Raw genomic sequence first — 14,757 nt, 5'->3', positions numbered from 1 at the left:
CTGCGGATGTCTGAGTACCCATGGAGCTTTGTGAGTGTGGTGGGCATGGGGAGATGCCCCAGAAATGCTTCTCACACTGCAGGAGGCGAACGTTGGAGCTTCTAACTCATCAGGTTAATTTCCAAACACATGCAACACTCCCAATGGGGAGGGGCCAGGGCACAGGAATCTGTGGCTATTTAACTTCATATCTCAAGGTTCCTATAAAAACAGATCTTCAGATAAAATGGGGAGGAAAGGACCAGCAAAGGCAACTATACAAAGGGTGACTTAGGTTGAAGCTATAACTTCTCCATAGTCCAGAGTCCTTAAGACCTTAACAGTGGCCAATTATTTCAAAGGCCAAATGTTTGTCCCTTAAAAAGGGACTGAAACTGGCAGATAGCTTCTAAAAAGCTATAAAGATATTTATTGTACTGTGTCATTCTAATAGTACACTTGTAAGAGGTTTGCCAAAAAACAATCAGAAAAATGCTTTTCAGTTTATCCAGGAGGTTATTACAACAATAACACATCAAGACCTACCCATGAATGCCAAAAAATATAAACTGTTATACTAAAGCTGGATAGAGAGAAGTCTGTGGTCTTATGCCTATTTCCTTTATCTGCACGATGAAACCTATAAAGATATTGTTTACAGGGTTAACTTGGAGAGCAAATGAGGTATGGAAATTGGTTACACAGTTCACCAAAACCTTACAAACTCACATGTTCTCAACTGCAGTGTCCTTGGAATTCTGGCTGTCATCCACACTCCACAGACCATGATTTCTCCAAACCTTGGAGGCAAGAAGCATGGTTCCAAGGACAATCTTCTTCCAATTAGTAGGACAAAGATCGATGTTAGCACTAGTTAGAAGTCGTTTGATGTATACCTGCAAAATAGAGCACTGCTCTTTGATTTCAGTTCAGCTTAAGTGTGGTGATACGAACATTTAAAAATGAAAGATTTCTTCCGGTTTTGACCAGAAAGTAAGTGCCTTTTATTCTTATGTTCTGCAGAGACTTTGCTCAGACAAAGCAAGAGGCCAAATCACAGTCATAGTCAGATACCTCTGCAGCCTACTCTGCCTATAGACATTTCCAGCCCAATTTTGGTCACAGGGAGGACTGGACATCTCTGCGGGCATGAAGAGAGGCACCATCAGCACCTTCACACTCATTAAAGGCAGCACAAATTCAGGCCCAGTGCAGATTAAGGTTGTTCAGGAAACACTCCAGTGCTGTCTGTGTGCAGCATCATGCCTGGCTGGCAGGTAGATAGGAATTTTACAGGTATACCATGCTTGAATATGTAACACTCAAGTGATACTGAGAACACTGCTGTCTTCTCCTTTTCACAATAACTAACCCGCTCTTGGGACACCAGCTGAGGAACTGCAGATCAAGGTCACTTCCCAATGCCTGCCATGCAGACAGCATGACAAGCACAGGTCTCTGTGGCTGAGAAATAATCTCCGTATTCAGTGCTTGATAAGGAACACATGAGTATGAAAGGAGGGTCCTGCTCACAGCCCCTATGTTCCACGTCTCCACAATCTCTTCAAGAAAACTCATTTCTTGTTCTATAGTATCTGCATTCAGTCAATTCAGTTGGGTTTTAGGCAGAGACAGCTGTCGGCCTCTGTATCCCTGGGGTTCCTCTCAACATGCCAAGCAGTTTGTGAGACAATCTCAGAAAGTATTTTCTATCTATCCAATCTCTATCCTATAAAGAACTTGGTGAGGGACCAGCTGAGTGGAGGTTACAGAGGTGAGCGGTGAGGCGTTGCTATCCCAGAGGGTGCTCTGCAGAAGAGTATGTCTCTATGCTACTTGACATCTTTGTATCAAGATCAAAGGAAAACAGTTCATTTTAAGAGAGTTCATTTATTGTCTGAAGGTTATCAGATTGGCGGCTCAGATATGGCAATGTTCTCCAAACTCAACTGTGTTTTCAAAATCAAATGGCTCTTGAACATGATATGTTCTTATGAGAGATTCTGCTCCCTTTCCCCCTAACTCTGCACTATTGAGTATCCCAGGAATGACCCTCCCTCCCAGGGTTCAACTCCACAGCACTCATTAGAGAGCACTTAAACAGCATTGGCAAGCCCTCAACTTCCTGTCACCTTTACTGGTAAGCTGGACCTGCTGACACTCACCGAAACCACTTGCCCTCCTGGGTCAGTGAGAAAGCTCCTTTTTTAACACCAACTCTTCTATCAGCACAGTGGATCCCATCCCACTTTTGCAGAACACTGTTCCCCAAATCACCTCTTCTTGAAGCCTTTCTCCCTCTCTGCCAGAGATTTCCCCCAATATGAACGTGTTTCCTGTTCCCATCCTGCTCCCCACAGCTTCCCAGAGGCATCCTCTCAATTTGCTCACAGCATCAGGCCCTGTTGCCAGCTCCTCACCTCCCATCTCTCCTTAACCCACCTCACCCACCCCCATCACTCGCCTCAGACTCCTCTTGCAAAGGTCCTCAGAGTCTTGACACTTACAAACCAGAGCCCTTCACCCCAAGGCTCCACTCTCCAAGCTGGCCCTAATCTTGTCCAGGGAATTGCCATTGGCCTAGCTCCTGGGGACTAACACTTAAATGTGAGTTACCCTGTTTCAATCTGTGTGCACTCCCTCTATGCCTACCTTCACTGGTAGGCTGCCTGCTTCAGATTCTGAGCCGCCATGTGTCACGGCTCACCTATATCACCCTATTTGCTTCTTGGTAATCTTCTCTGCCCCAACCTTCCTCCCAACTGTGGTCTACTCTCCCCAAAGCCGTCACCATAACCTCTTAAATTAAGAACACTGCACTCCCCTCCTCAAGATCTACCATGAGCGCCCCCATCAAACTGGAATAAAACCTGAGCTTCTTCCCATGGCCTGCAAGCCAAAGGGCTCTGTGAGCTGTCGCACTGCCTGTGCAGCCTCATCTCTTCCATTCTTTCCTTCATTCCTCTCACCACGTGGGCCCCCTGGTGTTTGTTCCTTGAACACACATGAAATGTGTTTCTGTCTCAGTCTCAGCACTCATCCTACTTCCTGTCATGCCAGCACTTCTTATCGTCCTCGCTTTATAGTCAGGTCACTGTTCAAATGTGACCTCTCTAGAGATGCTCTTCCTGATCATTCTATTTGAAATAATGAGCCCCTCTCATCACTCTGTCTTTATCCTGCTTTATCGTTTTGCTATTTTCCATAACCTAAAAAAATGCTTTCCTCATTGCAACATGAGCACATAAAGACAAGGACTGTGTTCAACCTGTCCTCTTCTCTACCCCAGCACTTAGAAGAATGGGACAGGGTCGGCATGCAGGGGGTGTTTATGGAACGGACAACTTCTTGGCAGCATTTAGCCCTGTGACCACAGCCTTTCCTATCTTGACCCCTTTGCTCTTCTTTTATTATCCTCTCCTGCTCTTCCTCCTCCCACTCTAGCCACTTTACTGGGGGCTTGTCCCTTACATGCTGGTAGTCCTTACACAGCTATCTTCTGTCCACCTTCTTTTCTTTTCCTTTTTAGAGATGGGGACTTGCTATGTTGCCCAGGCTGGACACAAACTCCTGATTTCAACTGATTCTCCTGCCTCAGCCTCCCAAGCAGATGGGACTATAGGTGTGTCCCCACCATGCCCGGCTTCTCCACTTTCATTCTAAACACTTTCTCTGCATTTGAGCAGCTACTCTCTTTTTTTTTAGACAGAGTTTCACTCTCGTTGACCAGGCTGAAGTGCAGTGGTGTGATCTTGGCTTACTGCAACCTCCACCTCCTGGGTTCAAGTGATTCTCTTGCCTCAGCCTCCCGAATAGCTGGGATTACAGGCGCCAACCATGACACCCAGCGAATTTTTTGTATTTTTTAGTAGAGACAGGGTTTCACCATGTTGGTCAGGCTGCTCTCAAACTCCTGATCTTAGGTGATCCGCCTGCTTCAGCCTCCCAAAGTGCTGGGATTACAGGTGTGAGCCACTGTGCCCAGCCTTGAGCAGGTACTCTTACTCCTTATTCCTTATTTCCAGTTCAGATTCATGGTCCAGTCCCATAGATACAAATATTGACTGTACACGGCCACTCTGCTATCTTACAGGCACACCAAATTTAGCCTGTCTACAGTGAACTCCCCCTTCTTCCAATCCAGCTTTCCCTCCTGTGTCAGCTCTCTCTCTCTAGCTGGAAGTTCCACTTCTGCTTCCTGCCAGCATGTGCTGAGCATTCCAAATGGCCTGCAGCTCCATGAAGAGGACTGCACCTGATCCAATGCCCATGGAGGGATTTCTATGCAGGTGCCTAGCAGAAGCCATCTCTTCTAAGCTCTAGCCAGATGCTAAAGGAGAGGGTACTACTGTTCTAAGTATCTTTTCTCTCCTGGCTGCATGGTTGACACTCCTCTACAGGTTAGTGTGGGGAGGGGTAAATCAATCCCAGCCATCTGAAAAGGGCTTCATATTCAGAATGAGTCTCACCACAGGAATTCTGTGAGAATGATGTAGATGTAAGGACACAGCTATGGCTTAGCAGGCTACCTAGCAAAGCCTGTGTCCAAGTCTTCCTGGTACCACGTTCCTGGGCAATTTCTGGAGCAGGCACAAGAGGTCAGCAGGAACAACAAAGCATTCAGAGCAGCAGCTCCCAGTCACAGCATGCATCAGAAGTGCCCGGGGAATATGGCCTGGGACTCAGCTTAGATCTACATTGGAATCTGTTGAGGAAGAAACCAGAAATCTCTCCTGCTGCCTTTAATAGCAATTATTCTGTGATAAGAAAAGCAATGGCATCATTTTAAACCATAATGATGATTCAACTCAAATATGTGTATTTAATGGCTTGCACAGGTTTCTCTTAAAAGATCTGATGATAATTTCAGGAATCTACTTTTAGTTAGAAACATGGCCATACGCTGTGTAGGAGACCAGTTGTTAAAGATGCTTTATAAATAAGAAATATCTTACCAAAGCTACAATTGCACATGGAGCTGTTAGTTTTATGACTTGAAAAAGAGTACAGAAATGTCTGAAAATACAGTTGCGTTTGGGATCATGCTTGAAGGATTTCCCTGGAAGCTTCTCTTGCTGAAAGAAGAAAAAAGGCAATATAAATATCCACTCAAGGAAACTTTTTAAGAACTCTTAAGATGGCAGTGTTCACATTTGTGCCCATGTGTCCCTTACAACAATTTTGATGAGATAAAATGTCTTTTTATTTTAAAAATATAAACAGAAGGATATTAAAATATTTTTGGTTTTCTGTAAACATAGGCCCTAAGGTGGACCTGTGGCTATCATATATCTGAAGAAGGAAGTTTTTAAATTTTTGTAGCATTTAAACTGATTTAAATTGTTTTCTAATTCTATTTACAGAAGTTGTGCATATTTGTTAGGACTATTTACAAATATTTATATTGTTTGCTGCTATAGAAAATTATTTTTTAAATGACACATTTTGTTATTTGGATGGTATATTTACTCCCCTTAGCACACTAATTAAGCAAAGCTGCAAGTCAGCTCTTACTCCAGTGTGCCCACTTTACAACACTCCTTATATAAGATGATTAGACACAACAGAGGGAAGACTTAAAGGTGGGTGAGTCTGACTTCAGCATGAACTAAATATAACTCTATGAGACAAAAATAGAACCTCAAATAAAGCAACACTTACTGGAAGTGGATGTACTGGCTCTTCAAAAATAGCCAGAGATCTATTTGCATATCTATAAAATAAGAACGTGCATTCAAGAAATTAATTCGGGAATTGTTAATATCTTAGTAAAATATCTGCTTGGGAGTAGGGCATGGAGGGTGGAGAGAGATACCTCTTGTTTGCTTTGGTAAAATTTGTTCATCAAAAGAGTTTTTGCAAATTTTTCTCCTGGATCCTGGCCTTCAGAGGGTTTCTTGACCTGTTTTTCTTCAGCACACTATGTCGTGAACTGTGAAGTCTTTTCTACATTGATGAGCCAGACTTGCCTTTAAATATTGACCCCCGCTAACAGGCAATGGTAATAAACTATATCTATTTTCACTCCTCTAACCACATGCTGGAACGCAAGAGCATTTTATAAAGCAGTAGTGGTTGGCAATAAACTTATAACTTGTAATAAATGTGAATGAGATTCAGATTTACCAAATCTTCCTTTATTACATGTTTATCATATTTGTTTAAGTAGTTTGAGTTACAAACTTAATTGTCTTTTTATTTTAAAAGAGGCCAGTCTTAATGAACTTTAAAAAACTAACACATTGTATGCTCATTTAGGAAACCAGTGGTTCTCCAAATGTGGTTTGAGGATCCCTGAGATTCCCTAGGAGGCCCATGATGTCAAAAGTTCTTTTTTTTGAGACAGGGTTTTGCTCTTTCACCCAGGATGGAGCACAGTGGTACAAACATGGCTCACTGCAGGCTTGACTCCCTGGGCTCAAGCGATCCTCCTGCCTCAGCCTCCCATGGAGCTGGGATGAAATGTGCACACCACCATGCCCAGCTAATTTTTAATTCTTTTTTGGTATAGATGGGGTCTTGCCACATTACTCAGGCTAGTCTCAAACTCCTGGTCCCAAATAATTCTCCCACCTTGGCCTCCCAAAGTGCAGGAATTACAGGTGTCAACCACCACCTATGGCCCAAAATGTTCTTATAAGAATACTAATTCAACCTGAGAAGCTGATTGAAAATAAAACATAATTTATTACTTTCTAAAAGTATTAAGACATTGCTTGCTTTTTCACTGTTCAACACTTGTAATGATTGCATAAAAGCAAAAGTGGGTAAAACTTCTTGTTTCTCAGTAAGAATAAGGGCTGTGGTACCAAATTATACTAGTATTCATTACACTCTTCACTCCCCCTTGCAGTTTTTATTAAAATATCCTGCTTCACTTAAGAATATCCTTGATGAAACAGTAAAAATTAATGGTGTTATTAAGTCCTGAACTCTCTTTTAAGTATTCTAAGTAGTGGTGCAGGAAGTCAGGGACCCCGAACAGAGGGACCAGCTGGAGCCAAGGCAGAAGAACATAAACTGTGAAGATTTCATGGACATTTATCAGTTCCCAAAATTAATACTTTTATAATTTCTTATGCCTGTCTTTTCTGCAATCTCTGAACATAAATTGTAAAGATTTCATGGACATTTATCACTTCTCTAGTAATACTCTTATAATTTCTTATGCCTGTCTTTACTTTAATCTCTTAATCCCATTATCTCCATAAGCTGACAATGTACATCACCTCAGGACCACTATTGTACAAATTGACTGTAAACGTGTGTTTGAACAGTATGAAATCAGTGCACCTTGAAAAAGAACAGAATAACAACGATTTAAGGGAACAAGGGAAGATAACCATAAGGTCTGACTGCCTGTGGGGTTGGGCAGAATACAGCCATATTTTTCTTCTTGCAGAAAGCCTATGAATGGATGTGCGAGTAGGAGAAATATTGCTGAATTCTTTTCCCAGCAAGGAATAACCCTGGGGAAGAAATGCATTCCTGGGGGGAGGTCTATGGATGGCCGCTCTGGGAGTGTCTGTCTGATGCGGTTGAGATAAGGACTGAAATACGTGCTGGTCTCCTGCAGCGCCCTCAAGCTTACTAGGATTGGGAAATTCCAGCCTGGTAAATTCTAGTCAGACCATTTCTCTGTTCTTGAACCCTGTTTCCTGTTAAGATGTTTATCAAGACAATGCATGCACAGCAGGACATAGACCCTCATCAGTAATTCTAATTTTGCCTTCACCTTGTGATCTTTTATTGCCTTTTGAAGCATGTGATCCTTGTGAGCTACTCCCTGTTCATACACCCCCTCCCCTTTTAAAATCCCTAATAAAAACTTGCTGATTTTGCGGCTCAGGGTCGTCATCACGGTCCTACCAATATGTGATGACACCCCTGGAGGCCCAGCTGTAAAATTCCTCTCTTTGTACTCTTTTTCTTTATTTCTCAGACTGGCCGACACTTAAAGAAAATAGAAAAGAACCTACGTTGAAATATTGGGGGCTGGTTTCCCCAATAAAGTAGGAAGTTCACATAAACCACTTCTGCATACTGAAGTATGGGTATGTTAAAGAAAAGCACTTGTGATTTAATTGTGAGCTGAACAAGCAAATTTTTAACAGAACACCATTTCTATCTGAAAGTTTGACTGACTGTCATTCTCAAAAAGAAGTCAAATGAGTCTGTCATTTCAAGGAAAATAACAAGTATTTGTTGTCTATAATAAAGCTAAAGCTTTCAAGCTAAAATCAGGACTTGGAAAACTCATACCTACTACTGTGAGCTTGACGGCATCTCAATATTTGAAGACATTTTTATAATCATGGTGATACTAATGAAAGTGAGTTTTTGACACTATCAATGAACATGAATTAATATTTTCCAAATAGCCAATGCATAATATTATAAAAGACAGTAAGTGGAGAGATCCATTTATGGTATGAGAAAGATCAGTGAGTATTAGTGGAATGAATTCATTGATATGTACAATCCCATTATAACTATTTTAATAAGTCAGCACTTGTGAAGTTTTGGTGTGGTTAAAGAATACCCACGATTACCTGAAAGCTTTAAAAATACACATTTTTCCTACTACACATTTGCATGAGGCTAGTTCATCTTTTTATTTCTTCTTTACAATAAATTGCAAACAAGACATAAACAAATACACTTTGGGACCCTCAATAATTTAAGAGTTAAAAGAGTCTTACAGACCAAAAAACCCACAAATGATTCACTTTAATACTGTAAAGTAAGCACTCTACAGCTTATGTCTATAGTTATGACCTAACAGCATGTTTCATATTATACAAAGTGATGAGCTGGAATAACAAGGCAGGTTTTCAAAGAGCTCACCTGTGCTTTATGTTGTAATATATTGCCAAAGCCACACTGTGGAGGGAAAAAATATATTTGTAAGAACTGATTTTATCATTGGTTAGGCCTGAATACATGTTTTTAAAAGGGGGAGGAGGAATTCTCTCAGTGGCCCTGAAATCCTCTTGTTCAAAACAGTACCATATGAGCACTTTTCTTTTGTTTTAGCTCTCTGGCTTTATAGTGAAAATAGGAGAACCAAAATGCTAGGCAATATGCTGTTAGAAGATGTTTCTGCTGATGGTTATTATATATAAATAATTACATATTTTCCCTGTCATTTGCTATTCTACCCATAGAACCTTTCATCCTGTGCAAGTCACTTACATCTATGTGTACATAAGCTTACATTTAGGCCATATAGTAGTGTTTTGCTTGTTAAGTGGCTAGGCCCTGCATTTCAGCTGATTTAGTTCTCCATCGCCTACTCACCCATTTATCATTAGTTCCCTAAAAGCACACAATGATTGTGCTTTATACCAAATAAAGTAATTTAAAATCACCTCTGCATAATTATTAACAGAAAATTTATTAGTAAATATAATGCACACAAAAATTGATGACACTTGTAACTATCCTGAAATAAGCAGCACTAAAGAGCATAACACAGCATCATACAATATTCATGACAGGTATTTCCACATTCGTTTAAACAAAATATTAGTGAACAAATACAACTCTTCAGATGTATGTTACTGTGGTCCTCAGTCATCCTCAGATGGTGTGTGTCAGCAAACAGGGGCTTCTCTTGGATAAGTTCTGTGCTTCCATTTGCCCTCAGCATTTAAAATGAGGCTCAGAATAATTTGAGAAGGCAAATTTGAGTTGTAAAAAGTAGACCTTACAACATTATTAGCATCTAAGATCGATATTTCTATAGTGCCTCAAACAGTTCCATCTCCAAATTGATTTCAAAATCACAGAATTTGAAGTTACATGCTGAAAAGGCCACTGAACCTTACATGACACTCCATGAACCACCCATTTTACAAATAAGAGAACCAAGGCTTCAAACTGACTTGCCCAAGATCCCCACATAGTGCTTTTGTGAACTGCAGGAGTTCACAAAACACTGTGGTATGGTTTAAATTTAAGCATATGCACACATACATAGAAATGACTTGCACAGATGAAAGGCTCTATGAGTAGAAAGAAGAGCAAATGACAGGGAAACATGTAATTTATACGTTAGAACCATCACTCCTCCGTGCAAAGGAAGCAGTGGCCCCCACGTTTGCTGCACACTGGACCACCTAAGGAGCTTTAAAAACAGCCTCACCACCAGCTGGAGACATTCTGATTTAATTGGCATTGTGTATGATTTGGGCATCAGGGTTGTTGGTAAAGATCCCCAGGTGAATCCAATGTGCTGCAAAGTTTGAGAATGACTGAGTTAGGGTTAAGGTCAGAATCATCTGGGATGCTTTTATCCATATAATGATGCCTCACATACTTAACCATTTTTCTAAAAGGCTTGTGAGTGCCAGAGATGGAGGGAATGTGGAGCTGGGAAGATGCATGTGTTTGCAGAGATATATTTTGAAGAAACAGGTATAAGTGATTCTAATATGGCTCACTCATGCCTTTGAGTACAATGGACTACTAACCATGGAAAACATTTTTGAAAATCTTTCTGAAAGCCAATTTGCTCTATTAATTTGCTCAGTAAATCTTTATTTCATAAAAGTAAATATACCAAATGATCCCTTCTAAAATTTGAGAGCAAATTAAAACTAACTGTATTTCAAAAATAGACTTCCAGGCCAGGCGTGGTAGCTCATGCCTGTAATCATAGCACTTTGGGAGGCTGAGTTGGGTGGATTGCTTGAGACCAGGAGTTTGAGACCAGCCTGGCCAACACAGCAAAACCCCATCTCTAAAAAAGAAAAAAATAATCTATTTTAAAACAACTTGTAAGAATTAGACTATGCTGGAAGAAAAAGCAGAACCTCTACTTGTTTGAGCAAGGTGAAGCTTAAAAACTACTTTTGAATTGCATACTGAAACATCAGAATCTTTTGAAATCATAAGAAACCAGGGACTCTAGCCAAAACAGAGTGCCTTTTTACTTAGGGCTGAATACAAACATTAGGTGATGACTCCATAGAGGCCAAAACTCAGGGCTTTAGACACAGGTGGAGTCCAGTTCCTGATGAAACACAATTTGATCTCAATAATTGTTACACAGGAGAGAGGAAAGTGACATTATTATGAGTGTAAGTTTATCATTTTTAATTAAAGTAGAAGTTACTGACAAATTAGCTTAAAAAGCTAGTACATTAGAAACAAAATTAAGCTTGTAAGCTAGTCATGTTTATAGACTGGAAAGTTAAGTTAGGGATAAGGACATTAACATGCTAAGGTAGTAGTTCTCAAACTGTTTTCCCAAAAATCAATGCTCGTAATCTAAGGAGATGTTAATAATGTTCCCTGGATGCCTCAATGGAACTGGGCTTTGTTGTGACTTTTTAAATAAACTTGAACCCATCGTCCAAGGGTGTTTTGAAAAGGCATTTCTGATTGTGGCCTATGAAGTGCTCATGCATGATGGCAAAATGTAAATGCAGATATACTATGGCACCACTGGAGGACAAGCTGTTCCTTCTTTCAAGAGTAGTTTCCAAAGTATTACCCATCGTCTTTGGCCTGTAAAGAACTAATAATTTTTCCCAGAAACTTTCAATAAAAAGCACCTCTCCTTCCCATTAGGTTCAACACTGTCATAACATAAATGCATCAAATAAATAGCTACTCTTTTTCTGGGATTGCTTATTTGCTATCTGGCTTTCCCTTCTACCACACAGCATCTAAGGTTAAAAGAGAAACAGAAAATTCATATTTAGGTCCCAGAAATCCATATATCATTGACATCAACTTCTTAAACTGCTTGCTGAAAAGGGCAACCAAATGGCTGAAATGACAGAGGATGGCTGTGATGCTTTTAGCATATGGGGGTCTGTCACTCAGCCCTTGGCAGCCTCGTTTTACTCACCTTTCTAATGTATGTCTAAGGTCAGGCTGGCTGGCTGTGCTGTTATCTAGCAATATGGTGGAACATGAGCCGTATTTTCTATCAAGATGCCATGGAGGTATCTGAAGGAGAAGGAAGATAGAGAAAAATGTCACAGTAGGCTGAACCTACAAAAGTGTGGGCTTTTTTCCTTAGTCAAAATGTCAAATAATAAAGCATTAAGGTATTTTTTATACCCCATGACCTGCCTGAGTGTGGTATTGTGAGCAGCTCTATGGGAAACTCATTGGAGGTGCTTAACTTCTGCAGATGATGTTCGAGGAATGGGTTATAAAATGCTGCCCTTGCTATGATACCAATCGTCAAACCCAGGAAGCCTCTATTATGAATTCCCTTTATAAATAATGGGAAAAGTTTAAAGTAAGATTTCATGGTTTTTTATTATGCAGTAAAAAGCAGCTGAGATTTTCTATTTCTATTATTCATTAACTACAACAAAATGTCATACATTAAATAATATTGGCACAACAGCATTTTTATTGCAGTAAATAAAGACCTAATACTACATTCACTAAATTACTAATCCTAAATATACTCATTCAAGAGACAGTGTGATGGAATCAGAATTTTAGAGTCAGAGATTCTGTGTGCCAGGGCTGCTCAGTGACCAAACAATTGAGGGGCCATGGGTTTCTCTGGGCCTGTTTCCTTGGGGGAAGATAGAAAAAGTACTACTTTAAGACTCTCACATTTGAAAATCAGATGAGGAAAACCACTTCAGGAATTTAACTTTCACTTCGTGTTTACATAAGACTGCTATTACATTACTCAAATGAGAACTTCCGAGAATACTTTGCATTCATTTCAAAAGTTGATTGATTTTATTCTGTAAGTAATTTGACACACATCATGGCACTGTCCTGCCTCAGTCATGCTGCTCTCTGCCCAGAATACCTATTTCTTTCCTCCTTATCCCAGCAAGCTTCACCTCCTCTGCCTTCCGGGATGCCTCTGCCAGCAGCCACACCACAAAACATTTCCGGTTTTGTGTACTCGTCAGTCTAATTCACCGTGTGTTACATGATAGCAATTGCCTGCAAAGCATCCCCCTGGTGAAAAAGAAAGCCTCTCCAGGGGAGGGAGGGTCCTTCCTCTCCTACCTGCAGCTGCTGAGCACAGAATGTGGGAGAAATTAAGGAGTTCAATAAGTGCTTGACAAGTTATTTAAATCAGTTACAATTTGGAAGGTAAATCTTCCTACAGTTACAAATTGGTGAAATTTATCTGCAGTGCTATCAGAGAGGTGACAGTGAACCTTTTGAGCCCTCTAGAAAATAAACTATTTATAAAACACTTTAAAAGTATCTATTCATTTGTCGAGGGTGCAACAGTCAATATGGAAACTGCCTCATCTATGTTTAAAAAAATGCTCTTCCTGGCCGGGCACAGTGGCTCACTCCGGTAATCCCAGCCCTTTGGGAGGCTGAGGCAGGTGGATCATGAGGCCCGGAGTTCAAGACCAGCCTGGCCAAGATGGTGAAACCCCGTGTCTACTAAAAATACAAAAATTAGCCAGGTGTGGTGGTGGGTGCGTGTAATCTCAGCTACTCAGGAAGCTGAGACAGAGAATTGCTTGAACCTGGGAAACAGAGGTTGCAGTGAGCCGAGATCATGCCACTGCATTCCAGCCTGTGTGACAGAGCAAGACTCTGTCTTAAAAAAAAATGCTCTTTCTTAAAAATAATGGCAGTAACCAAATCCTAGTCACCAAATGGTTGAAGAGATCAACAGCATTATTTAAAACCACAAAATACCAATTATTTTAGCTTTTAAAAAAATAACTCACATGAGCCTTCCTTCTTCCTATTGGGATATGCTTGTCTGCATCATGTTATCACACTCTTCCATCAGGGTCTCCCACAAGTACATGAAAGACAGGGTAGGGAGGAGATCTAGCAGTTGTTTCTAAAAGTACACAGTATTTAAAAATTGCCTGTAGCCAATAATCAGAAATATCCATACAGTCTAACACCATTTTGCTTGTTTCAGATGCTTTTCACTGTAAATTCACTTACTTCTTAACAAAAATCCCAGATGTTTTTGAACAATATTACTATTTGAAGGACCAAATTCTCCTTCAAGGTAGAAATGTTTTAACTCTAGCTAAACTCTTATGTCTCTTAAGCTATTCTATTAATGTATATACTTTACATTAACAGTGTATGTATGTCAATGTACATACTTTTATTGCCTGAAAAAACAAAAATAGCATGAAAAATAAAAATGGACTCACTCAGATACTTTCATTCAAAGTGAAAGAAAGTATCCCTTAAGGTCACCACTATTAGGGGTAATACAGCATAATACTACGCGGTAACAAAAGTCAATTCTGAGAAAAAATCCATATATGAGAATAAAAAGAACAGAAAAAAAAACGCACCAAAACGCAGACTAGCTGGTACAGCTTTAGGTGATACCTGTCCCCATTTTGTTCTATTTAAAATCTCATATAATGAACATATATTGGGGTGTGTGTGTGTGTGTGTGTGTGTGTGTGTGTGTGTGCGCGCTTTGAGGAAGTCTTGCTGTGTTTCCCACCCTGGAGTGCAGTGGCCTGAACTCAGCTTACTGCAACCGCCGCCTCCCAAGTTCAACCAATTCTCCTGCCTTGGCCTCCTGTGTAGCTGGAAATACAGGCATGTGCCATCATGCCGGGCTAATTTTTGTATTTTTAGTAGAGATGGGGTTTCACCATGTCGGCCATGCTGGTCTCAAACTCCTGGCCTCAAGTGATCTGCCTGCCTCAGCCTCTCAAAGTGCTGGGATACAGGTGTGAGCCACCATGCTCAGCTCTCAAGATCACTTTTTTCTCCCCATTTTTTTAAGAGACATCTTTCAGATATTTTTAAAATAATTAATGACTTTTAGCTAACTTAAAA

At 40.5% G+C, this 14,757-nt stretch overlaps 1 pseudogene across 1 annotated transcript in view; it reads right to left on the bottom strand.

The window, feature by feature from the left end:
* CCNYL3 (cyclin Y like 3 (pseudogene)) overlaps positions 1-14,757 on the bottom strand; it is a 29,980-nt pseudogene that overhangs the window by 8,225 nt on the left and 6,998 nt on the right. Inside the window, exons 4-9 of the transcript NR_158158.1 lie at positions 13,665-13,783; positions 11,840-11,940; positions 8,827-8,862; positions 5,641-5,692; positions 4,935-5,054; positions 709-875 (exon numbers count right to left, since the gene is read on the bottom strand). The product of NR_158158.1 is annotated as a cyclin Y like 3 (pseudogene) (transcript). The remainder of the gene's footprint in view (positions 1-708; positions 876-4,934; positions 5,055-5,640; positions 5,693-8,826; positions 8,863-11,839; positions 11,941-13,664; positions 13,784-14,757) is intronic.

Source organism: Homo sapiens, chromosome 16 (genome assembly GCF_000001405.40).
Source record: "Homo sapiens chromosome 16, GRCh38.p14 Primary Assembly".
Classification (NCBI taxonomy): domain Eukaryota; kingdom Metazoa; phylum Chordata; class Mammalia; order Primates; family Hominidae; genus Homo; species Homo sapiens.
This window is presented reverse-complemented; position numbering and strand designations above follow the sequence as displayed.